This window comes from Homo sapiens, chromosome 9 (genome assembly GCF_000001405.40).
Source record: "Homo sapiens chromosome 9, GRCh38.p14 Primary Assembly".
Lineage (NCBI taxonomy): Eukaryota > Metazoa > Chordata > Mammalia > Primates > Hominidae > Homo > Homo sapiens.
The window spans coordinates 125,827,267-125,854,362 of NC_000009.12; the positions used below are offsets into that span (position 1 = coordinate 125,827,267).

At 34.9% G+C, this 27,096-nt stretch overlaps 1 protein-coding gene and 1 long non-coding RNA gene across 13 annotated transcripts in view, besides 1 other annotated feature; both read left to right on the plus strand.

Annotated features, from left to right (window-relative positions):
* Positions 1-27,096, plus strand: part of PBX3 (PBX homeobox 3) — a 220,005-nt gene that overhangs the window by 79,894 nt on the left and 113,015 nt on the right. The window lies entirely within an intron of this gene.
* On the plus strand, positions 10,085-26,468 carry LOC124902271 (uncharacterized). Its single transcript, XR_007061778.1, has 2 exons — positions 10,085-24,183; positions 25,787-26,468. It is a non-coding gene; the product is annotated as an uncharacterized LOC124902271 (long non-coding RNA).
* Positions 12,364-12,658: a silencer, noted in NCBI's record as "tiled region #15662; HepG2 Repressive non-DNase unmatched - State 24:Quies". NCBI's record gives its function as "represses a minimal TATA promoter and a strong SV40 promoter by Sharpr-MPRA in HepG2 cells {active_cell/tissue: HepG2}" and the evidence as "EXISTENCE:reporter gene assay evidence [ECO:0000049][PMID:27701403]".

The window sequence follows — 27,096 nt, forward strand, 5'->3', positions numbered from 1 at the left end:
ATATTTCAAACACATAGCCTTTTATTTCTTCCTGTTAAGTTTAATAAATGTTAACATTTTGCCATCTCTGCTTTAGACATTTATTTTTAAAAAATATCCATTTACATATGTTTGAAGTTTCCCCATCCGTTCAGCTCACTAACTTCCCCACCCCAAATTAGTACCTATTTATCTTATGGTTGGTACATATTCTTCTCATGTGAAAAATGCTTTTACTACACATACGTGTATTTACAAATAATGTTAGTATTTTTAGTATTGACAAATATAATGTGTATATATACACATATGTAATACCTATGTGTCGTATATACACACTGTACATCTTTTTGTAGCTTGATTTTTTGCTCACCAGTTTTCAACATGTACTGCATTGATTTTGATATCCGTGAATTGATTTTATTAGTTTTACCTGCTTTGTAGTATTCTACCGTGCAGATGAACTTCACATTCATTTCACTACTGATGGATGCTTACATTTCATCTGAAATTTTGGTATTATAAACATGCTTGTACACATATTTTTGTCCATATGCAAGAATTCCTCTGAGGTATATAACTAGGAATAGAGTTGTTGGGTTTATAGAGTATGTGTATATCCAACTTTATCTGATGTTGCCAAATTGCTTTCCAAAGTGGTTGTACCAATTTATATTGCTACCAGTAATAAGACTGATACAGAGGTTTGTTCTGGAACTACGCATTTTGGAAGGATCAGAAACTAAATTCATCTAGGACCTTAGTCTTCTGTGTCCTTATTTGCTGGATACAGATATTAGTAGTCCTTAGGTTTGGACTTTTGCTGGATATAATGATGTGTATTTTGTATTTTTAGGAGTACTAGTTTGCTGTCCAGAGGATTTACTTTGAATTATTAGTAAACCAACAAGATAAACACAGAAGTCATTCAGTTAAATACATTTTCATCACATTTTCATTGGGTAATAATTTTGCTTTTGACCTATCAGATCTGAGATATATATACTCAGAGATACTGAGATATATGTACTGCCTAGACAAATTTTCCATAGTTTACAGCAACAAATGGTTTATATAGAAATGCTATATTAAAGTATATTTTTATTTGTTAAACATAATTTATTAGGAATAGAACAAAAACCAAGTCACAATAATGATTTATCAAAACAGAGCCCTATAAGAAGGGAGATGGGAATGAATACAGCTCTTCTGCTATCTTGAAACATTCTGTATTCTAAGCCAATTAGAACTGGTAATACAATTTTACCAGTTGGTCATTTAAGAAAATGCAAGATTAGAAAAACATTTGATGATCCATCTGGAAAAAATAAGATTGGTCAGTTTTTTAAACTACTTTCTACCCTCAATTAGCATATCATGTCATATCAGACCAAACATAGTAACTTTGAGCTATAGTTAAACAATTTACTTATGATAGGAAGTTATTGACCACAAGGTCTTCTCACAGATTAAAAGTTTGGTAATATGTTTAGAATGTTCAGTTTATTCAATTTGTTAGAAAATCAAAAGGAACGTTGAGTCTAAACGTCGTTTGACAGATTTGTTTGCCTTTATTCCTATTAAAAGTATTTCAAAACCTTTGATTTGATTCTGAACATCAGTAATGTAAGTCGCCTTCTTTGTTCTAGGATAAACAGAACACATGCTTCTGCAGCTCCCTTGATCAATGAGAAAATGCCTTATATCAAAACCACATGGCGAGAATGTAGCTGTAGGTGATCCCCTGAGAGGTTTTTTGATTGGAGCTGGGAGTCTGGTATTGAAAGAAGAGGGAGACAGACAGGTTGTTTGAAAAAACTCCCATCAGACCAAATGCTTGTGTTGGAGCCATGCTACAACATTTTTCATGTAGAAAGTGCAACTTTATCAATTTTAAATGTTAAAGACGATTCGTTGCATGATTGTAATAACATATTTTCACTTTGGAATTTCTGTATACATCTCTCTGTATTTCATTAGCTAGTGGCCCAGAAATTCATTTATTCACATGCTGCTTGTCAGTCTTCCATTTCTAGAATTTTATTCTCAAACTACATCATTACAAGATTCATTATTTAATTTTTAAAGTCAAATGCAACCGAGGTACATTTTCTTTAGCTAATATACACTTGTCACGTTTCTGGACAGCAAGAGAAAATAAGCTTGCTGATTTGGTTTATAATTATATGTATCATATTTATGATGATATTCTTAAGAATTCTAATATTAGGTGAGTAATCTCAACATTTAATTTGCTAGTCAGGGGTTGCTTTAAACTTTTGTACATACGTAAGTTTTGGTGCAATTTAGTTAAAAAACTCATTATAGGAGATGAGTATGTGCTTCATTTTTAATATTTCCTCCATTCACTTTGAAGTTTCCTTTGAAAGCCAAACTATTAGGCTTGTTATGTCAGCTCTTTCCTTAAATTAAAAAAAATGAGCAACAAAGCAGTAATATTTTAGTGTTTTTCTGAAAGAAGAGAAGCAAAATAATTGTTTTAAGAAGATTCTAATTGAAGAGTTAGAGTGCCATGGTCTTTTCAAGACTGGTTTGGTCCTGGTGCTGCTCCGTGGCAGTGGAGCTCTAGATGCCTGGCCAAGCATCCCTTACCGACATCTGGAACCAGTTGCAATACATCACTGTCAAAACTGCTTTCTATACGTATCTGCATTTACACATTAGTTACCCACGCAGCACTCATCAAAAAAGCTGAACAATCTTGACATGGTGTCCCTTGTGGAACTGCAAAGGTGAACTGAAGTTGGGAGGCAGTGTCTCGCGTCACTGTCTGCTGAGCTCTTACAACAGGAAGCTTGATTAAAAGTGAAAGGAAAAATTTATCAGTTGTCTCAGCACTGTAGAGTTCAGTATAATTTTTTATTTACAAAAGCGTTATTTTTTGCTATCTAAAGCATACGTAATATGAGCATTCAACTGATTTTGTTTAGAAATAAGAATATTTTTATTTTTTAGTTGAAAAATATTGCCTTGCATGTTTCTTAGATTTGCTATTAGTTATATAATCTATTTTATTGTTCATGTTAAGGAAAATGTAAATTTAACAATAGAACTATGAAGAATTATAGATACAATATTGATAGCACTGTGTCAGTTAAATTTAACTGAAGTATAGCATAAAATTTCAAACAAACAAACTTCTTTAATGTTACATTGGTGATAGTAATGTTTGTGTTTATTAATTTTCAAAAAGCTGAGTAATAGAAAAGTACTTATTTATAGGTGTTTTATATTTGTGTATCATATGTGTTTTTGAAAATGAAATAAGAGTTTTGAACCCCCCAAATTGGCTACTTACATAAAGAACTATACAGAAGCCTTTGCTATCATATCCTCTATAATAGTAATAATAATAATAACATTAATACTAATGATGACAGTGGTTAACATTTACTGGGCTCTTTATGTACTAGACACATTTTGTCTATTATCTCATTCAAACTTAATAAATGGAGGTAATATTTTTCCCATTTTATAGAAGGAGAACCATGTTTAAAGAAGCTAAGTAACTTGTCCACATTCACAGTAAGTGTAGAGCTGCGATTCAAACTCTAGCTGTTTGATTCTAAGTCATTGTGGTTTTTTTGTTGTTGTTGTTCATTGGTGTGTATGTCTTACTTTTTATTATAAAATTTCCCCCAAATTCACAAAAGTAGAGGGTACAATGAACTCCTGTATAACCACCAGTCAGCTTTAACCACTAATATGTTATACTTGTTTTGTATCTCCGTGCAGATTCACATTCCTTCCTCCTGCCCCCCACCTGTCCTTTTTCATATACCATTGACTTGCTGAAAAAATCAGAATGTTTTTCCTGTAGAATGCCCCAATTCTAGATTTGGCTGATATTTCCTTGTGGCAGTATTTAATTTACGCTTCTATTTGCTGAATTTCTTCTAGACTAGAATTAGATCTAAAAGCTTGATTAGATTCATCATGCATCACATCAGCCATAACGTTTAGTCATCTTACTTTTTGCAATGCTAAGACTGATTGATCAGTGGATTAGGTAGTGCCAGCCTGATTTCTTCATTGTAAAGTTCCCCTTCTTTCACCTAATGGTTTTACCATCTATGGATGACCCAGTGCCTGGATTACTGAATTTCTTAGGCCTTGAAAATGGTCCACTTGTTATTCTTTCTGTATTTATTAGCCAGAATGTTTTTTTTTTTTTGAGATGGAGTCTCGCTCTGTTGCCCAGGCTGAGTGGTGCGATCTCGATTAGCCAGAGTGTTTTAAAAGAGCTTTATCCATTCACTAGGGCTATTTGGTTACCCAGAAATACAATTCATACTGGAAAGGCAGTATAAAATATTTAATTCTTTCCCTTTAATTATCAATTTCCAGAGTAATGAGGTAGTGCCTTAGTATCCTCCAGTGGTGTATAACTTTTGATTTTTTTTAGTAGTTATTATGAAGTGTTGGCTTTTTGTATATGTAGTGTGTTTTAATCAGTTTCAGACATTATACTTTTTGATGCTGAAATTGTACCACATTTGTCCAGTGGGAACCCCTTCAAGTTGGCTCCTGTGTCCTTCTGATAAGACTCCATTTTTAGCTTTTTTAGCTTCTTACTTTCTGGCCCACCAAAACGTGCCAGGCTCATCTTGTACATTTCCTCCACCAGATGTAGAATCTGCCATTTCTCCAAAGAGCCATGGTTCTTTTTATTGAGGAGTGATATACAAAGGCCAAAATTTGAGCCTTAAGGGTACTTATTGCTACTGGGTTGTTTGCTTTCAGGAAAAGAGAGGAGATAAGTGAGCTCACATTGATAATTCTAACTCAAATGTAAGATTACAGGGTTTCACTTAAGTTCTTAGATTTTATATTTATATATCTTTTATGACAAAAAATTTATTCTTAACAAAATTAAGATAATTACTTGATTTATTCTATATATTGTTATAAATATATACTGGTTTTCTTTTCTTTCTTTTTTTTTTTGAGACGGAGTCTCGCTCTGTTGCCCAGGCTGGAGTGCAGTGGCGCGATCTCGGCTGACTGCAAGCTCTGCCTCCCGGGTTCATGCCATTCTCCTGCCTCAGCCTCCCGAGTAGCTGGGACTACAGGCGCCCGCCACCACGCCTGTCTAATTTTTTGAACTTTTAGTAGAGATGGGGTTTCACCATTTTAGCCAGGATGGTCTCGATCTCCTTACCTCGTGATCCACCCGCCTCGGCCTCCCAAAGTGCTGGGATTACAGGCGTGAGCCCCTGCGCCCAGCCTAATGGTTTTCAGATAACAATTGACTACTGACTGAAGTTAAAACTTTCTGTGCAGTTTTTTGGGAGAGGGTCCTCAAATTATATTTCACTGAAGAGATAGACAGTTATGTCATTTAATTAGTTTTTCTATTCTTAGGATTGTTTTCCCTCATGACTTAGAGCCTGAATGGCAAGTGACTGTCCTCAGATTCACTTGCTTAGATTCTCAGATATGATAGTATTGATCTTTTTCCCTTTGCAGGTATTTATTTGTTGGTGAGTTCTGGGTTTCATGGCTTTTAGGACCCTTTTGTATTTCTCTTTACCACCACTGCTTCATATAGCTGCTGATCACAGGTCTTGCTGCTGTTGGGTGTTTTTGGCCACACCTATCTATAATTCCAGGGTTTAGGAGGGATTCCTTGTCACCTGCTTTTGTAGGAAATGTCATCTGTGGTTTATTATTTCCTGATGGCTCTGTCTGGTTTTGTGAGGGAGTTTGGTGAGACTTAAAAGTACCTACATTGTTATGTCATTTCGGGAAGTTCCAGCATCTGTGTAATCTTAACCGCTGTAGCATGCAACTTGGTTTAAGGAAAATTTCTTTGAGCTTTATTCTTGGGTGCTAATTATTGAAGTACAATTAGGAAGGGGAGCAAATAGGGAGAAGAAATTTGTGTTTACTGAGTTCCTGCAATATGCTAAGAATGTACTGGTAATGAAAAAAATTGGCCAGGCGTGGTGACTCATGCCTGTAATCCCAGCACTTTGGGAGGACGAGAGAGGTAGATTGCCTCAGCTCAGGAGTTTGAGACCAGCCTGGGCAACATGAGAAACCCATCTCTACTAAAAATAGAAAAATTAGCTGGGCGTGGTGGTGCACACCTGTAGTCCCAGCTACTTGGGAGGCTGAGGCAGGAGGATCACCTGAGCCTGGGATGTGGAGGTTGCAGTGAGCCTTGATTGCACCATGCCACTGCACTCCAGCCTGGGCCACAGAGGGAGACGCTGTCTCAAAAAAAAAAAAATTGTTTTATTGCTGAATCCTTATAATACCACCGTAAATTTTATATCCTAATTTTATAGATTAGAAAACTTGAAGATTAGTAAAACTTGAGGATTAACCTAATGTTGTATGGCTAATAAGTGACAGAGGTGGATTCAAACTGAAATGTATTCAAATTCTGTGTTTTTCCCTATTTAGACTAAATTTACTTTCTAGGAACTTTTTGTAATATGATTTCGTTCAAAGGAGGCTTGCAGAGTACTTGAAGCTAAAAAGTTTTAGGTGGTCTAAAACTTTTGGCTATTTTGAATAATGCTGCTATGAATATTTGTGTATAAGTTTTTGTGTAGACATATATTTTCATTTTTCTTTGGTATATACCTTGGAATGGGATTGCTAGGTCATAGATAACTATGTTTAACTTTTGAGGAACTGCCAGCCTGTTTTCCAAAGTGGCTGTACCATTTTGTATTTCTACCTGCACTCCAAGAGGGTTCCAATTTCAGTTTAACTTTAAACAGTATCATTAATTGGATAAACACTGCTTGCTTTCTCTGAGCCAGAGATTTTTCTAGATGTTGGGAATACAGCAATGACTATGGCTGACAAATATGCTGCCCTGAAAGACCATACAATTAAGTGCAGGGAGACAGATAATAAATAAGTCAATAAATAGAATAATTTCGAAGCATGATAAACATTATGAAGTATTGACTGAAGTAGGGGGAGACTTTAGAAAAAGTAGTTTGGGAAGGTTTCTGTAAGAGAAGGAAAAATATGAGCTGAGACAGAGAAGTATAGCTGAGGAGGGAACAGGGAAGAAAAACTCTAAAGATGTCACCTTTCAACAAGTTTTTAAGGTGATACATTGATGTGATAGTGGCTAAAACTAAGAATGGATCAATTATTTTTACTTGTTTTTTTTATTTTTATTTTTTTGAGACCGAGTCTCACTCTGTCCAGGCTGGAGTGCAATGGCTTGATCTCGGCTCACTGCAACCTCCACCTCCCAGGCTCAAGGGATTCTCCTGCCTCAGCCTCCCGAGCAGCTGGGATTACAGGCACCACCACTGCGACCGGCTAATTTTTGTATTTTTAGTAGAGACGGGGGTTGCGCCAAGTTGACTAAGCCGGTCTTGAACTCCTGACCTCAGGTGATCCGCCCACCTCTGCCTCCCAAAGTGCTGGGATTACAGGCATGAGCCACCTCACCCGACCAATTATTTTTACTTGTTTGTGAAATATTTAAATCTCAGCTGGGCATGGTGGCTCATGCCTGTAATCGCAGCACTTTGGGAGGCTGAGGTGGGTGGATCACCTGAGGTCAGGAGTTTGAGACCAGCCTGCCCAACATGGCGAAACCCCGTCTCTACCAAAAATACAAAAAATGAGCCAAGTGTGGTGGCAGGCGCCTGTAATCCCAGCTATTCAGGAGGCTGAGGCAGGAGAATCGCTTGAATCTGGGAGGCAGAAGTTGCAGTGAGCCAAGTTCATGCCACTGCACTCCAGCCTCGGTGACGAGCAAAACTCTGTCTCAAAAAAAAAAAAAAAAAAAAAAAAAAAAAAAAAAAAGGGCAAAAGATATGAAAAGACAAGTAACAGAAAAGACAATACAGATAACTCTTAAATGTTGGAAAAAGTCCATCCTCACTCAAAATAGGATAAAAAATAACAATTACTACTTATTGAGTGTTTACTATGTGCCAGGCACAGTTCTAGGCATCTCATATGTATTATATTAACTTGTTTTATTTTCACAAGAATGTTTGAAATTGCAGTATTAATATCCTTGTTTGATGTAGGAGGAAGAGGAGACACAGAGGTTAAGTGACCTGCCCAGGGATGCACAGCTCCAAGTGAGTGGCAGAGCTGGGAGATGGCCCTAGAGTCTATACTCTTAACCGTTATATTCTACTGACTTGCAAGAGTCAAAACAAAAACAAAGAGACCACCTACAGAATGGGAGAAAGTATTTGCAAGCTATTTAATTGACAAGGGATTAATAACTAAAATATGTAAGGAACTCAAACAACTCTATAGCAGAAAAAAAAAATCTGATTTTAAAATGGGCAAAAGATCTAAATAGACATTTCTCAAAAGAAGACATATGAATGGTCAACAGGTGTATGAAAATGCCCAGCATCACTAATTGTCAGAGAAATGCAAATCAAACCCACAATATAATAGCATCTCATCCCAGTTAAAACAGCTTTTATCAAAAAGACAAAACATAACATGCTGGCAAGGATGTAGAGACAGGGGAACGTTCATACACTGTAGTTAGTGCATTCACTATGGAAAACAGTATGGAGCTTCCTCAAAAAACTGAAAATAGAACTATGATATGATCTGGTAATCACCCTGCTGGGCATATATCCAAAAAAAAGGAAATCAGTATATCAAGACAATCTGCACTCCCTTGTTTATTGCAGCACTATTCAAATAGCAAGATATAGAATCAGCCTTAGTGTCTATCAGTGGATGAATGGATAAAGAAAATGTGATACATATATTAATACATAGTGGAATGTTATTTAGCCATGAAAAAGAAAGAATGGAATCTTGTCATTTGTAACAACATGGATGGAACGAGAGGACATTATGTTAAGTGAATTAAGTGAGGCACAGAAACACAAATATCCCATGTTCTCACTGATAAGTGGAAGCTAAAAAAAATTGATCTTGGCTGGGCGCGGTGGCTCACGCCTGTAATCCAAGCACTTTGGGAGGCCGAGGCAGGTGGATCATGAGGTCAAGAGATCGAGACCATCCTGGCCAACATGGTGAAATCCCATCTCTACTAAAAATACAAAAAATTAGCCGGGCGTGGTAGCGGGTGCCTGTAGTCCCAGCTACTTGGGAGCCTGAGGCAGGAGAATGGCATGAACCCGGGAAGCGGAGCTTGCAGTGAGCCGAGATTGCATCACTGCACTCCAGCCTGGGCGACAGAGCGAGACTCTGTCTCAAAAAAAAAAATTGATCTTGTGGAGTTAGAGTAGAATGATGGTTGCCACAGGGTGGGAAGCGTAGGTAGTCAGGGAAGGGGTGCTAAAAGGGGTTGGTTAATGGGTACAAAAATATGGTTAGAAGGAATAAGATCTAGTGTTTGGTAGCTCAGTAGGGTGACCTATAGTTAACAGTAATTTATTGTATATTTCAAAGTAGCTATAAGAGTGACATTGGAATGTTCCCAACATAAACTGATGATAAATGTTTAAGATGATGGATATTCTAGTCACCCTGATTTGATTATTACACATTTTATGCTTGTATTGAAATATCCTACCATAAATATGTAAAACTACTATGTATCCATAACATTTTTTTAAGAGTCAAAACAAGTAAAACTTCCCTGAGCTACTATTTTTTATCTGTCAGATTAGCAAAGATCAAAAAGTATGATAACAGTGTGATAGAGAACTAGTATAGAGACTCTTAGAAATTGCTAGTGGGAACATAAATTGGTACAACCTTTCTTTGAGGGCAGTTTGGAAGTATCTATCAAAATTTAAATATCACCATGCTTTGTCCTAGCAATTGCAATTCTTGGCATTTAGCCTTCATACATATTTGCATGTAAGAAATATATGTGTTCAGAGATACTTGTAGTATTGATTAGAATAGTAAAAGCTTGGAAACCACCTAAATGTTTAACAGTAGAGGGCTGGTTAAATTATGTTACTCCTATTCAGTCTAGTACTATGCAGCCTGTCAAAGAGAATGATGAAGCTCTGTATGCACTAATACAGAACCAGTTTACAAGCTATGTTGTTAAGTCAGAAAGCTAAGTACATGATGGTACATATATGTATTATATACATGTATATCTGATATAGGAAAAATAATAGAAATGTATACTTATTTTGTGTGTGTATATATATTACACAAATATGTATACATGTGTATAAATATATATAATTTATTTTATATATATAAAATATTTCCAGAAGAATACACAAGAAACATGATGCTATTTGCCTCTGGAGGAAAACTAGGTGTTTGGGGTCAAGAATAGGAAAGAGACTTAAAAATGTACTTTTTGCATTTTGAACTATGTAACCCTATATTTAAAATGTTAAAATGAAAATATACTTTAAGAGGAATCTAAATGATAATACTTAAGGTTAATAAAGAGCCACTTTGAATTGTTCTGCAGTTTATTTTCCTAAACAGCAAAGGTCTCAAGACTTTTTTTTTTCTCCCTGGGTTCATGCCATTCTTCCGCCTCAGCCACCCGAGCAGCTGGGACTACAGGCACCTGCCACCATGCCCGGCTAATTTTTTGTATTTTTAGTAGAGACAGGGTTTCACCGTGTTAGCCAGGATGGTCTCAATCTCCTGACCTTGTGATCCGCCCACTTCGGCCTTCCAAAGTGTTGGGATTACAGGCGTGAGCCACCACGCCCGGCCTAGACTTTCTATAGTCTTTGTTTTGTTGGTCTTTTTTCAAAAGATAGCAACCAAAGAGTGCATTCTAGGTTTGTACTACCCTGTTGAAATGGTAGATAGAAACATTTTAATAGCAAAGCCAATGCCATGTATTTGATACCATATGGAAAAAAAAGGTTGTACCATCTTTTCTTTCTTTTGTTTTTGAGACAGGGTTTTGTTCTATCATCCAGACTGAAATGCAGTGGCATGATCACAGCTCACTGCAGCCTGCTGGGCTCAAGGGATTCTCCTGCCTCAGACCCCTGTGTAGCTAGGACTGCAGGTGTGCGCCACAATGCCTGGCTAATTGTTAAAATTTTTGGTAGAGACAGGGTCTTACTGTGTTGGCCGGGGCCTAATGTTGGCCTAGCTCAAGCGATCCTCCAGTGTAGGTCTCCCAAAGTGCTAAGATAACAGTGATGAGCCGCTGCACCTGGCGTCTTCTAAGTCTACTTTGGACAATGGGCCCTTGCTCTCACAATTTTCAAGAGACCTCTATAATTTGTATGAGTGATTGCTACATCACACTACAAACTGCTTTCCATTTGTAATTACTCAGCTTTTAGCTCCTTGGTATCCACAAGAACGTTAGGTGTATTTTGGTAGACAAGAAGATTTGGACTGTAAATGGGAAATGATAGGAAGATATACTTTGCAGGATATGAAAAATCTGTCAAATCACATTCTTAAGATATAACCAGTTTACCTACATAAATGTAATTGTTGATTGCTAGTTGTGCAACTTACTGTTATTTGTTATTTACAAGATTAAATTGGTTTCTGCTAATGTCAAGTGACAAAAATATAGATAGATAACACTAGCTCTTTGTACCAAAGTACGAAACATTAGAGAGAACAAAGGCCAGGAGTCGTGGCTGGTACTAACTAGGTCTAGGTTAGAAATGTATGGCACTAATCTGGGAAGGTTTTATAAAATGAAAATAATAAAGTAGAATTTTGAAGGCTGAAAGGAGTGGATTTTTGGAAGGATTTGTTAGATTTTCCAGGAAAGTGATAGAAGTTTTTGCCAAGGTAGAGGAAAAAGTGAAGGCAGCAAGTTAGGATGGGGATTTTTGGTAGAGCTTAACACACGGAGGGGAATGGTTCAGAATATGGGATTTGGAGTCATTCAGACCTGGATTTGGGCTTCAGTTTCACTATTTCCCAGTTAGGTTGCCTTGAGGAAGTAACTGAAAATAATCTTTCTGTGTTTTACTTCTAAAATTTCTAAAATGGAGATAATTATAGTGGTTACCTCATAGAGTAGCTGTGAGAATTAAATGAAATTGTACATGAAAACATATAGTCAAGCGCTTTACCCACAGAAGATACTCAATAGATATGTTACTACTATTAACAATAATTTTTGAGGTGAACCAGTTAAATCTCATTCATTGTTGTAGATTTGAGGAATCAAGAGGCAACATGGTGATGAATAAAGAGGACTATACTCAGATTCAGAAGATCTCTCACTTGTTCAGATCTATAGATTGAGTAAATGAATGTCTTTTTCACAGCAATTCAATTAGAATGAGGTTCCAAAGAAAGAGGAAGGAAACAGAAATAACCCTATAACAGAAATATTTCCAATCTTTGTAAGCTCCTGTTGTGCCGGATGAACTGATGTAACTTCTTCACAATAAAAGTTAGCAAGATTTAATGTAGGTAGAAGGAGAGGGAAAAGCCAAAGATTTATGGGGAGTTTAAAAGCCTGGAAACGAGAGTCTTTTGGTTCTCTTGTCTCTGTTAGGAAAGTTAGGGAAGATGTTTTGGATATGTATAGTTTTGGATTACTGGATCACATCCAAGTATATATATTGTATGGACAAGAAGACATGAAAGGCCGAGGAAAGCAAAAGAGAAAAGGGATACTGTTGGGATATGATTCTTAAACATTCCAAGACTGTCTTTTCAGTGACCTCCCTGTTTATGGAATTGAGATAATTTACTCCTGACATCTGATATATGTATACTCTATTTTGAAGTATTTTGCTCTCTTAAATTCTTAGTATAAAGCAAAAGCTTTCAGAAACCTGTACAGTGTTCTATTATCTGTCAGTCTTGTGGTACTCATTTCTGGGCTTTGAGGAGCACTATGGACAGTGGGCCATTCAGATGCCTCTTTGTAAATATGGGTATCAGCAGAGAGATTTTTAAAAATGTTTTTCATGTTCACAGACCTGTCTTCTTTTTTTTAAATATCTTAAATAGTAAATAGTGAAGATTAATAATTGTGACTTGTCTAGCATTATGGTGATATTTAAACTGTTTTCCAGAAGATTTTTCTGTAGATGGAAACAACTTTGGAATAAAGGAGGAATTTTTTTCAGGATGGAGTTTTTTATTTTTCATTTTTTAGCACACTGGAAATGTGTCCATTGTGTTTTAGATGCCACTTACAATGAATTTATTTAATAGTGTTCTTCTGGTCAGATGTAAATAATGCTGTCCTGCGTATGCTGGCCTTTTAGCAATTGTTTCTTATGGGCAGTGTGTCACAAAAGGTGTAGTAACATATTTTTTTCTGGCCTTTTCTGCTTGGCTTTTATATTATTACTTATATATGCTTCTAGAAGTTTATTAGTGACTTTTAACACACCTTCCATCCCTTAGCTATAGCTAACCCTCTGAGTGAATTTTTCTCTCTTTCCTTTAAAGAACTGGCCATTTTTCTTTCTTAACTCCTCGATCTCCTTGGTACATTGACTGTAATTTTATAACACTAGTATTCTATATCTTTCTATATCAAGAAAATTTTTACTTGAAAACTGTTAGTTTTAAAATATGCTATATGTCTTTTGGGAAGTCATATATATGAGTAGGGTGAAGGGCAAAGACTGGAAATGTTTATGTTACAGAGTTATTTCTTCTTTCTTCTTCTTTCCTTTGAACCTCATTCTAACTGAATTGCTCAGAAAAGGGCATTGTAAAGAGAGTCCAGGGTAAGGGTTTGAACCCAGAATATTCCTCCTTTGTGAAATTATTTGCTTGTTTGATTTTAAGTCGTTCAGTTTGTTACTTTTAAGTCTCCATAGAGTCTTACAGCTGTTTGATTTCTATTAGTTCAATTATTATATTACCTAGCATCTAACTATATTGTTCTTTAGAAATTCTTAAATTATTATGTACTAACACTAGGGCTAACCATGCGCTAGGGACTATGAATAGCCTCTTTGCATGGAATTTATTATGGTTTGTTTGATTATTCCTATTTTTCACATGAAGAAATTAAGGCCCAGAGAGGTTTAATAAATTGTCTAAGTCACCTAGTTATTAAGTAGTAGAGCTTGGACTTGTTACCAAGTTTTATCTAAATCCTAAAAAGCCTTAGATCTTAAACTATTTGAATAATTGGGTAAATACAGATAATTAAATTTATTCTTACTGTTGAAAATTCAAATAATTTGTGGCAGTGTTTTTAAAATCAGACTTAGCTAATGCTTGGTTCTGTGGGTGTAGGAGAAATGTTGTAGATGATTCTTTTGTTTGTGTTAATCTAGCACACCCTAGGTACTATGTTTTTTGTCTTGAACTTGTGATGTGGTAGGCACCAGAGAAATGCATGGCTAGATTTTTATGTACGTAACTGTTGCAACAGGACATTTATAACCATTCTACTTTTCTTCCTTTTTGCTATTTCATCCCTGGAGTGTTGTCTTACCCCAGTTTATTCAGTGACAGAGAAGACAGGAAAAGAGTGAAGTCTCTGGAGTATAGCTCTGCTGGTGTATGACTTGTTTTGGTCTTGAGCTTGCTTGCAATGCCTCTAGTACATAGACCCAGCTTTTGTTCAGAATGCTGTTGAATGGGCAGTGCTTACTTTACTGTAGCCAGAATTGATTATCTTGGTTAAAGAATCAAGGGAGATTAAGTTGATCTCTTAACTGTTCTGGATGTTGGAGTTAATTTCAGAAACATGTAGTAAACTGCAGTATTGGTTTAGAGTGGAACACTTTAGTTAGGATGTGTAGAGATAGTTTGACCTCAGTGCTTGTGCTTTTCAGTGAAGCTTTTATTGTACTGTTAACAAAAATCTAGATGAAAAATTTGAGTAAAAGACTATATTTTATCTGAAATATGAGATGATTTTATGAGACATTTATAATTCAGAAAGCATGGATTATATTGTCTCTCAACCTCTAATTTTGAAAACTTTCATTTATATCTGTGTATTTTGATCAAGTGTCAATTTGTCTTCTGCCTTCCGATGATGAAGTAACTGACCTCCTTAAGATGGGGTTAGAAATATAAGTCATTTCTTAAAGCAAAAAGTTGCTGTAGCGAGTTTTCCTTGTGCTAGCTCTTCTCTTTCAGGCCATCTTACTGAAACTAAACATCAGTTCACTTGACAACTTTACTCAATTCTAGGCAACAGTGGCTATGCTCTGGCCTGCAGAGACAGTGAATCCATTCTGGCTCTGACACTCAATTTTATTGTAAAACACATTCATGTTGACATCATATCAGTTTTCTGAACTATTACATGCATAAAAGAATTCACCCCTTTCCATTCAGTCTTTTTCAGCCTTCCGGTTAGGAGAAATCTGCACACCCAGTGTTTTCATTTTGCATTTAATGTGGTCTAGTCCAGAAAATAGCAGCTTCAGTTAAAAAAATGTTTTTCTTGAGGCACCTTTCAGAGTGTGTTAGCTTAATGGCATTCATTAGTAGGAGAGGACTAAGGAGAAATGCACAAGGCAGTTTTTAGGAGAGAACAGTTGAAGTTTAGGGTAAAACAAGTCAGTATTGACCCAAGATTATGGGGTTTAGTTGCTCGAGTTCTTTTGCATGCAACTGCTGTTTGAAGGATTCCTTGCTGGGCCTCATCCATGCCCAATTTTGTGGGCTTTGCCTCCTACTTGATCTTTTTGGTTGTGTTGTTTTTGTGAAGTCCTTTGATTGCTGATTTTTTTGTTTACTTGTTTTACTTACATTGGAATTTGCTAGTTTTGCATTTGGAGTTTGTTTCAAATATAATTCAAATCTTCATCTTTAGTTTATGGGGGAAATGTTTTTTCTTTACAAAATTAAGCTCTTTTATTTTTATGTCAGTTCTAGCTTTGTACTGAGTTTTGCTGAGGCTATCCTTGGTTTTCACGATAAAGAAATTTCACCTTTTCACTTTTTACAGGGCTTGATTGACTTACTTGGTTTCCTGATCCTAAATATTAAGATGTTTTATTTTCCTTCTTCTCTGTGAATACAGGTCTCCCTAAAATATCCACAAACCTATTTGGGGAATTTAATAAGGTTTTCCTTGTTATTTGGTTCTACTGTTCTGAGACTGCCCATTGGGAATTTCATTTACCCATAAGAGACTGACATTCTTACATGGAGTGATTGCAAATTTTGTTTTTAAACTAATATCATAAATATCTTCAATTGATTTTACTTAAATGTGAGTATAATTTACATAAAATTTAAAAAGGGATGGTTCTCAACCCTACGGATGTAGATGTTAACTAATTCTTATTTATATAATTTGGGGCCTGGTATGGTCATATGGGGTATACGGAGAATTTTTAAAAAGGCTTTTTCCTATTGTCTGTATTTCCTAAATATTATGGGCAGAATAAGGTTGTATTAGAGAGAGAAAATTGCAAACATACCCTCACTTTCCACCGGCTGGATGCACATTATCTTTATCTTTATTTATTAATAAAAGACGGAATGCCTTGGAAAACAAAAGGTTTTAATGGCCGGTGCTTGGTATCCTTGACAACAGTCCCGAAAGAATATTACATTAGGGCACCAGAGAACTTTTAAAAATAAGTAATGGAATTCCGTCTCTGTTATGCTTTTAGTAGTCATTTCGGCCATGGTGCAGCGAGGTCATAAGCTGAGCTCAGTGAAGGGAGCCAGAACATGAAATGATGCTGAGAGAACGTCTGGGAGATGAGAGGTACAGAATTACAAGCGAAAGTGCAGGCCTGCTGAGGCAATTACAGCTTAATGGGGTCATTTGGAAGGCAATTGCCAGGGGTTAATGTAGTATGGAGAGATGAGGTGAGATTGAAGTGAAATTTGGGGCTGGAAATGTGTTAAGATGAAAGATCAGAGAGCAGCAAAATCTGCAGTGGTGAAGGTTTATAAAATGCAAAGATTTGAGAAAATGTAAAAAATAGTGCCCAGATGTTTAAAAAAATTATAAAATGAAAGTGACATAAATTCTAGAAAATGCAATTTCTACATAAAAATATCTTTTTCTAAAATAGGTTTTCTGTTAGGAAAAAGTAAAGAATCTGTTTTTAAGGAAGTTTTCTATTATAATTTAGATTTTTATTTAATTTTTTTGCCTGCATATTTTAGGTCACATTGAACTTGAAGAGAGTTAACGCTGGCAACAAGCTCCATAAGTGACTGTTTAACAGAATGCCACCTTTTTTTTTTTTTTTTAAACTTTAGGATTTAAAAACAAAAAAAATCAAGAAAAAGTCCTAGGTATATATATTTTGATATATTTATAATGGATTCATCACATTATCTTTTCAGGCATTAAAATATACTATATAAAATGTCAAAATATTACCATAATGTAAGCTAGCATTCTTTGAGTGGGTATTTTGGTTCTGAAAAGTATGCTTAAATATTACAGGTGTTTAAATTAAAAATGTCAAACCATGAAGGCATAATGGAAGTAATCATTTTTACATAGTTTTAAGCAGTACAGGGTTGAAAAAGCTTTGCATGCCAGACTATTGTGAATGAGTGGAGTTCATAAGAATTCAAAGGACAAAAGAGATCATTATGCTTTGTTACCTCAGCTAGTTCATTACCTTAATTGCTGAGTGTAATCCAGTCTTGGAAGAAAACTCTGGGGCTTTAAGAAGATCAACACCAGCACCTTATGGCACAGAAAATGGAAACCCTTTCCTGTACCATTGCTACTCCAGGAACACTAAACCTTGATCAAAGGCTGAACTTTTCTTAAGGTCGGCCATGTGAACATCCCCTGGAGCTGTACCATTCGCTGAACCATAATGAAGTTTAGTAGGTTCAGCACCATTTCTCTCTGACTGTGACCGTCCTGGATCACTGGCTAGCAATAGCATATTATCAGCCTTTCAGATAGGTGAGGTTTAAACATAATTATGGTTAGTAGTATAATATGCTTTTTTAAAAATACTGCTTTCATATTATGGAAACTGAACAAACTACTGTCACTATTTAACTACGTTAGTCAGGAAGCATTAATTTTTTTCCTTCCTTTTGAAGGGATTGCTATGTCTCCGTACCTAAATCTTTCGGAAAACCTTGGAAATTCCCTAACCGGTATACTTTTCCCGAAAAGTCCTTTACTATGCAGTGTGGATGCAACTGTGAAATGGTTGACTCATCTGAAGCATTTTTATGTATATATTTTTCTCACCTGTGCAGCAATTTAGCTTGGCTTTGAAGATAGTTTTCTTTTTAGGATGCATACAGTTGCATACATTACGCTTTGAAAAAATTACGCTAAAACAAAAAATATGACCTTTAAAAGCATGGTTGAGTTGCATTCATTTTATAACCATCAAAGCAACTCTGTACTGTTGTAAGGTAGAAAAATCAATGATGCAATCTTTTTCCTTTTGCCTCGTGCAATCCGTAATTGAAATGGAAAATCAAATGAACGGCTAACAGATAATTGTTTTATCAATATTCCCTGCCTGCCCTACAAGGGTCAGCATAGAATGATCATGAGCCAGGGATATGATGAGGACAAAATGTGAAATTGAACAGCAAGGAGGCAATAAATCAGCCTTGACAAGAAAGAGTGACCAGCATGTAGCTGTTGTAGGCAGCTTTGGGGACAGTTTTTGTCTCAGGTGTCTGCCCTGATTTAAAAATGTGAGTTTATAATATTTGAAGCTTTGCCACCACTAAGCTTGGCTATTTTGGGGTTATATATGCTACTAAAGAAAATCTGAGTAGTAATCTGACTGTAATTTATCTTAAAAGACAAATGTTGAAATAAATAAATTTCCACAAATTCAGATATTCTATATGGTATGATTAAGAAAGTAAATGTATAAAAATATTTTATTGTATTGTTGCATTTATGCAATAGGCCTTGACTCTAAAGTGAAAATGATTCACTGAATTAGTTTTTAAAAAATATATTCTGTAAAGTTTGTAAAAAATAAAGTGAATATTAGTTTCTCTTGCCTAAATTATGAGATTTATGTGGGTTGAAGATGTCATTTGAGGAAGGAGGATCCAAACAAAAATTAAGACTCATCTACTCATGTTTTAATTTTCTTTATTTTCCTATTAGCTAGAAATTATTATATAAATGACAGAAAAACACAGTTATAAATGCTCAGTAGTAGTACCATGTAATGTGTAGGATTGTGGGATAAGTGTTATTGTTCATGTCCACATTAAAATGAAATAACTTCAGACATTGCCAAAATATGGTTGCTGGGAGTTAAGTTTATTCACATAAGACATAAAATTATGTTGGTGAATGTATAGGGAAATTTTCAGGTCATTTTAGAAAAATATTTTGAGAGCTTAAAAAGATTTATTTTCAAATAATTTACCTAATTAGGAATTCATACTGAGGAAATAGAGACATTTGTAAAGATAAACACATGAAGATGGTTACCACTGCAATATTCTCCCCACCTCCTTCTCTCTTAAATTTTTATTAGGGTGAATTTTGAGTCACATCACAGAAGACAGAATATTACAGCACCAAACAGCAAACACAGCCAACTTATGGCCAATCCTGCCCCATTGTCACCTCCATCAGCTTTCTCCTTCTACATTTTAAAAAGTAAATCCAAGACATATTATTTCACCTGTAAATATTTCATCATGTACCCCTAAGAAATCTTTAAAAAACCATAAAATTTCACTGTATCATTATTACACCAAAATATGAACCATAATTCCTTGATATCATATATCCAAATTGTTTGTTTGAACAGAATGCAGGTAAGGTCTACTCATTGCAGTTGGTTGATATATCTTTTACGTCTTTTTAAATTTAAAGCTTCTTTTCCATTTTTTTTTTAACCCTTTGTACTTTTTTGTTGAAAAAATTGGGTTGCTTGTCCTGTAAGTTCCCAGTCTGTATTTTGCTGATTGCATCCCCATGGTATAGTTTAACATGTTCTTCTGTTCTTTGTATTTCCTACAAGTTGAGAGTTGGATCTGTAGGCTTAGTAAAATTCAGGTTTAATTATTTATTTTCCTGGAAGAATTGCTTCATAGGTTGTGTTATATTCTTATATTAGGTGGCTCATATTGTCTGCTTTTCTCTTTATTGGTAATGTTGGCGGCTATTGGTGATCAATGCTTACATCTATTAGTTTATTTGGGGTAGCAAAATAGAAATATTCTATTATTTCTTTTCAATTTATTTCTTATACTAATTTGTGAAGAGAAAATTTCCTATATCTACTACTTAGTTACTGAGGGGTCTAGTTTGCAGCATTATTCCTAAAAGGACAAATTGGAAACAGTTGAAATGTCCAACAATAGGTGAATTGATTAAATTATGTTATAGCTGTGTGATAGAATTCTACATAATTATTTTGAATCATGTTTTAGAAGAATACCCAATGATATGGAAAAAGTCCAATGTATTAAATTTATAAAGCAGCAATAAATAGTAAAATAGTAGTAGTAAATAGTAAAATAGTGGTATGCTCATAATTGTTTTCCCAAGTACTTTTAAATAGGACAAAAATACTGAAAGAATAAAGACCAAATATTTATATTATATAATGGTTACCTTTCAGTAGTGGCATTAGGATTTTTAACATTTTTTTCTTTATCCTTTTCTTTATTTTCCTTATGCTTTGCTGTAGTTTCCAACTTTTTTTTTTTTTTTAACTGTGTTTCAAATGAGCAAAATATGGTCTAGGGACTGAATCTTCTATAGTAGGCTATCTTGTCCCATCTTTCAACCTGTAAATTTAACCTGTAGAATGGTTGTAATTGTAGAGGCACAAATAGATCACTGCAATCTAAATTAAGTGCTATCTCCCCTAATAGCTTTTTGTGATAGGTGTGTTTCTTATTATCTTTGTACACCCAGATGCCTCATACAGGGTCTGGCACAGAGCAACATTAGTAAATATGGTGAATTGAGTAAGTGCTAGGGTAGGCTGACCTAGAGTCATTGCTAGGTCTAATGCGTTGATGGTTCACATCCAGCTCATTGGTGCTCCTTTATCCTGCGTGACTTACTTTGTGTGAAATATTTCCATCTCTGCTTTAGAGAACAGATCTCTCTGGAGAACCAGTTTAGAGAACAAATCTCTAGTTTGGCATCTGTAGGGCAGAACATTTCAAATATCCACACTATCTCATGAACAATGATCAGTTCTCTGGATTAGTACATCTCTCACCTAAAATCACCTCAAGGTATAGTCTCTTGATTCCAGCAGTCTTCCACATTTTAGTTTTTAATCTTGTTCTACATTATTTTTATTTTTAGTTATTTAGGGGTAAAAACATTGTGGTTTATTTTGAAAGTTGATCACATCTAGTTTCATGCATGTCATTATTTTGCCTTCCCAGGAGTACAATAGTTGTGTCTTATACTACTTCCTTTTTTCTCCCTCAATATCTAGTACTGTGGTAGATGCATAGTAAGTATTGTTGAATTAATTAGATTGGTGCTATTGCATTATTGCTATAAAGGTAACATTGTTATGGTCAGTAGCATTTAGAATAGAAGACAAATAGTCTTACTACATTGTCCTCATTGACTTGCTATCAAGTTAAAATTTAGTGTGGGATCAGAAATTAAGTTTATTGAAATTCTAATTCGTTCAAAAAGGTTTACTGAGTGCCTAATATTTTCTGGGTATTGTTCTAGACGGTAGAGATACAGTATTGAATAAAAGAAAAACAAATACCTGCCCTTATGGAACTTACATTCTTGTGGATCTGTTCATACATAACTTGCTACCATGTACATTCTGTGATAGTGCATAATAATTTTCAGGGAGTCATCAGCAACAGGCTAGATAAGCTTGATCTAGAGTCAAGTATCTATTAGCTTTTATATGGTTTTGTGCAATAGCTTGGTAAAGAACAGAAACACTTATTGAACACTTATAATGTGCCAGGTACTCTATTAAGAATTTTGATATACCTTTTCTTATTTAACTCTCACAGTACTTTTAGGAAGTTGGTAGAATTTCTGTTTTCTTTAGTGAAAAAAATGGAAGCTCCAAGATGTTAATCAGCTTGCTCCGGATCACATGGCTAATAAGTGAGTGGCAGAACCTTATTCAAACACAAGTCCTTCTGATTCCAAAGGGCTTTTTCTATAAGCATTGTTGTAAGAGAATGTTCCATAAATTCTCAGTTGTTGAATTTTTCAGAATGATTTATTTGCAGATATAACAGATAGGCTGTGATGTCCTCATGTGTGCTTTATTTATTGTGCTATCCTTTATGTAGCAGCATATCCATAAGGAATGAAAGGATATCAGGGTGCACATGGTGGATTTAAAAAAAAAAAAGGAAGGATAATGTAGGAGTCAGTTTGTTAGGCAGAAGAAGGTCATGTTAATGTTCCAAAGTGACTTGAAGTGCTATGTCACAGTATTTAACATGCACATTTTAAAATGGTACACATAATGAACCAAGAGTAGATGTTATTCTAGTTTATCATTACCATGTTTCATTGATTCTAAGATGTTCATTCTTCCCTCCTCATTTTAGCATTTCTGAAATCAAGATGCCTCTTATAATCAATATCATGTCATAGTTTAATTGACATAAGTTTTTCCTTCTTTACAGTAGCACATAAAATCATGATGAGTCTTAGATTTGATGAAATATAATTATTTATATTTTGGCAACACCCTAAATATCAATATACATTTTATTTCCTGAAGGCTGCATAGAAGTTATTTCAATCATCAGATTATTAATTTGTGTTTTCAGTGCTTTAGATGCATTAGATAAATGCTTATACTTAACAATTACCATGCAGCTTTAACGTTTTTACTTAATCAACAGTGTAACTGTTTGGGTGTTTTCAGAACATCTGTTAATATGCCAGCAAACCATAGGTATATTGGATTATTAATATATTTTGAAGAATTACGTATTATGTACTTTGTGCAGTAATGTATCATGGTTCCAAAGAAACCATCAGGCTTTTCAAGTCATTAACTCACTTTTTAAAAAGTCCTTAAATATATATTTAGATGAACCACTTAACTGTGATTTTGACGTCTTAGTCTATTTCTTTTGATAATTAATGCTACAGGAGGCAACCTAGTAGATTAATATTAAATTGTAGCGTTAAATTTTACTAACAGAAATAGAGTGAAAATGCCTTGTTCTTTTAATTTTTGTTCTTATACCATCTATTTCCACGAGAGTCTGCAGAATTTTCTGAATGATGGGAGGTTTGGCACGATTTGGAACATATGTGTCTTTGATTTTCACATGTTGTTCTAACTGATGTCAAAAGGAGTTTTTGCATTGGCAGCCTGAAGCCAGTCCATGGCATTTAGTATCTAGGTACACTGGAAGTTCAGATTTAAAGTTGAGCAAAATGCTGACTTGTGCTTTTTTGACATGCTTTGCCTTTTGAAAACATAGTAATTATGATGTTATATATATTAATTTTCAGTGTTTCCTACATATTATTTAAATATCCAAACCACAGAAAACATTATTTTTAAGTAGTAGTCTTTAAGTAAGGTAGGATGCAATTGGTATAAGTATGAATTTACATTAAGAAATTAGAAATTTTAAAGATTTAGTAAGAATAAAGTCAGTATTGTACTGAAAAATTATAATTTGTAAAGCTTCTCCCCTTGTTTTATGCAGAAGTCTAAATAAGCACATGAATTAAGTTTGTAAGCCTTATAAAAACTAAAGATAAAACTGTTTGAGAAAATCAACATTTTAAATCATGCTAAATCTCTTCCTATTTTTACTCATCCTCTTGCAGAGCATTGACAAAAATATGAAATTGATTTGGTTGAAGGGTGTTAAAGAGCCGACAGCCAAATGTCACAAACAATGAATGGCTGCAGTGTTGAAAAAATCAATAGGAAGGTTAAGCTGGTCTTGTGAAAGACTTGGCAGACTGCTCTGTTCCAGGAAGATATCTGTCTTCTGGCCTTGGTTGCATGATCAAAAGGAAAACTTGATAGGTTTAATGAAGGAAGATACTGTAAAACTGACAGTAGAAATATAGACACTGTGGTAAACCATAGTGCACATCAGTGAGTGGAGCTATTAGATATATTTTTCAGCCTGAAAAAATACTTATGGGTAGAGATGTCAAAAATATTAACATTCTTTTACTTTTTCATCAGTTCCTCTATCAGCTAATAAATTTGCCTTAAGTAAACAAAGGTTTGCATCTTAAAGTGCGAGACACAATAATTGCTGTGTTAATTAGTAAAAGAATTTCCCAAATCTGTTGATTATGTTTAAAATCTAAATCAACATTATATCTTTGCCATTCGCAGATTGTGTCCAAGGTATTAAGAAAGATCGACAGCCTAGGTAAAAAAGACAGCCATTGACTTATCAATGAAAATAGAAAGTCCGTCATTGAAAACCAAGGTGGGATTTATGATTCATTAGTACACCCCACAGGCCATTAGGAGATATTTTATAGAAGCATCTTTTTTAACACGTTTGTTGATAAACACTATGTTGGCCTAAAAAATACTTCACTGTGATTGTTTTGATCAGAGCTATATATTATGAAGCCTGACATTTTAACACATATCAAATAAGATTAAGATCATTTATAGATATGTTTCTTTGCAGTTTACTGTAGTTTGTTGTTTATCAGCTGTATACTAAGTAATGTTTTGTCTGCATTATTTTTTCACCTGAATTTCTTAAGAACTTTTATTATACTATGAAATCAATTATTTCTTGGGTGCTCACTGTGTATTAGTCATTGGGGTGCTGATACATGCTCCTTAATTAAAAGCATTTGTTTAGAAGTTTAGAGAATTCAAAAAATTTTTGCTGCTTTTTTTTTTTTTTTTTTTACAAAGAGGCAGCTCCATTTTATTTTATTAGCCTCCCTTAGATGTGGCAGTCTTTTTGTGTATGTCTCTGAGTGGATTTAAGAAAAAGGCACCATTAGTTTAAAATTCCCAAATGTGGTATTCAGTTTGGAGAAGATGATAACCTGTTTAAAAACAAATAAATAAAAAGAGCAGAAAAAAAGGGAAAGATGTCTGGCAGATTTTCTGCAAGTGGACGCTGTAATAAAAATGCCCCCTACTTTGTCAGGATGGTATTTGGAGGGCTGCTGCCATATGTTACTTTCCTTTTTAGCTGGGATTATGCCATCATTATTGCTGATAAAAGCTGTTTACTGCCTTGGCAAAGGAATGATGCTTGGAGCAGTTTTGGAAACCGCCATTCAGTTTACAAAAAAGTTCATTTAGTGCCAGATGCTAGAATCCTAGGTCTTTGTTATCTTTTCCCATTATTAGATCCAGCCATTGTCTTATTTCTTTTTTTCCCTTTATAGTAAAATGTTGCTTCTTACTACCTGTTTTAATTCAAGCCGTTAATGTGGGAGGTTATCTAAATTATTACATTCTTCATGTTAACTGATCAGTACTAAAGCTGGGCAATTTGGCTTTCGGAACAATTGACCAGATTTGGAATAAGCACTGTAGTGTGCAATGAGGTTCCAGTTTCTAAACAGCCTGAATGTGTACTCTCTTTAGTACCATTGCACATCAAGGAGAGCTTGGTTCTGTGTTTGAATAAACTGTTGGCCAATAGGCAATCTCTGGAAACATTGAAGGTGGAATTGTTTTGGGTCAAGTTATAACATTGTTTTTATTCTGTTATGAAACATTTCCCAGGAAATGTTAAATTCATAGTTGTTATAACTTTTTCTGAGAATATTACCTTTCCAGTTATTTTTCTGAGACATTTCTTCTGCTTTTAAACACAACAGTTAGTAGTGACTGCATGATTGGATTGCACTGCCCTAGGAACTTGTAAATGCAAATAGTAATAGACTTTTTTGTTGTTAATTAGCATACAATACTAAGTAGGCCTTTGATGCATACTTAATACTCCAGCTTTGTATAAGGCAAGTAGATTGTTTTATTTTTAGTGTTTTGTCAACATTTTATTAAAATCCATTTCTCTCTCAGTGTCTAAAAACATTCTTTTTCTCAACTTGCAGGACTGTCCAGTGGAGTCAGTATCTGTATAAAATGTGATGTGTTGGCCCACCCAGAGATTATACTGTTGGCCATGTTAGTATTATGCTTCAACCATCTTTTTCCACACCTCAGAATTTAAATTGTACTCCTTACCTGAATTAAGAATTACTTTAAGTGCAAAACTAACTCTTAAAAATAATGCTGACAAATTAAGGTCTCACTGATTTACCTCAAAATATAGCCATGATTTCCTCAAGTATTGTATACTTTTACTCTGATGCTTTTTCTAGGAACGGTTGCCAAGAGGACAGAGTCCAAAAATTAGTGTAAAAAACACATTTTTTTACTGGACTTCTCTGAGACTTGATTTTCTCTTTATAAAAAATGTAGATAATACCTGTTTGTAAGGGTGTTATGAAAAGAGCCTGGGAGATCATTTTTACAAAAAGAAGAATATCAGTCATCTGTTAGAATACTGTAGAATACATCAAAATGTAGCTGACCCGGGATGCCACAAATGGCCCCCTAACAATTGAGACTTTTGGATGACTTTAGGTGGGAAAAGAAAGGAAAATCCATCTTCGAATGTATCCAAGTGCAAAGTTTAATGATACGAAATTTCAATGTCAGATTGAAGTTGAAAATTTAGAATCACCTGGGTGAAAGGGTTAAGTTTCCTTATTAAAGATTGCAACTATTTGAGTTTATGTGTACCTGCTGTTTTTCAGAAATAATTTTTGATGGTTATGAGTGAATACTTATTAGTTTCTTGAATTAACATGAACACAATTTAAAAATAATTCTTAAAATAAAACCCAAGTAAAAAGTTTTTAAGCTGAAGCTATATTTTAGGGAGTAAATACTTTAGCTATGCCCAATATGAGTTAATAAATGGACACTGACATGAAAAATATGCATTTATTTAAACAAGAAACATTAATTGGCTGCTGTATACACACACACACACACATACATATATACAAACACGCAAATACACATACACATGCACAACATGGCACTGTAATCGGAATCTCTGGAGAGCACCAAGCTTTGCACCAATATAGACCTGCTATTTTAATTAACTAATTAATTTTTGTTTTGTTTTTGTTTTTGTTTTGAGACAGGGTCTCACGCTGTTGCCCAGGCTGGAGTGCAGTGGTGTCATCTTGGCTCACTGCACCCCCAACCTCCTAGGCTCAAGTGATCCTCCCACCTCAGCCTCCCTAGTAGCTGGGGCTACAGGTGAACCTCACCATGTCCAGCTGATTTTTGTGTTTTTTTTTGTAGAGACAGGGTTTTGCTATGTTTCCCAGGCTGGTCTTGAACTCCT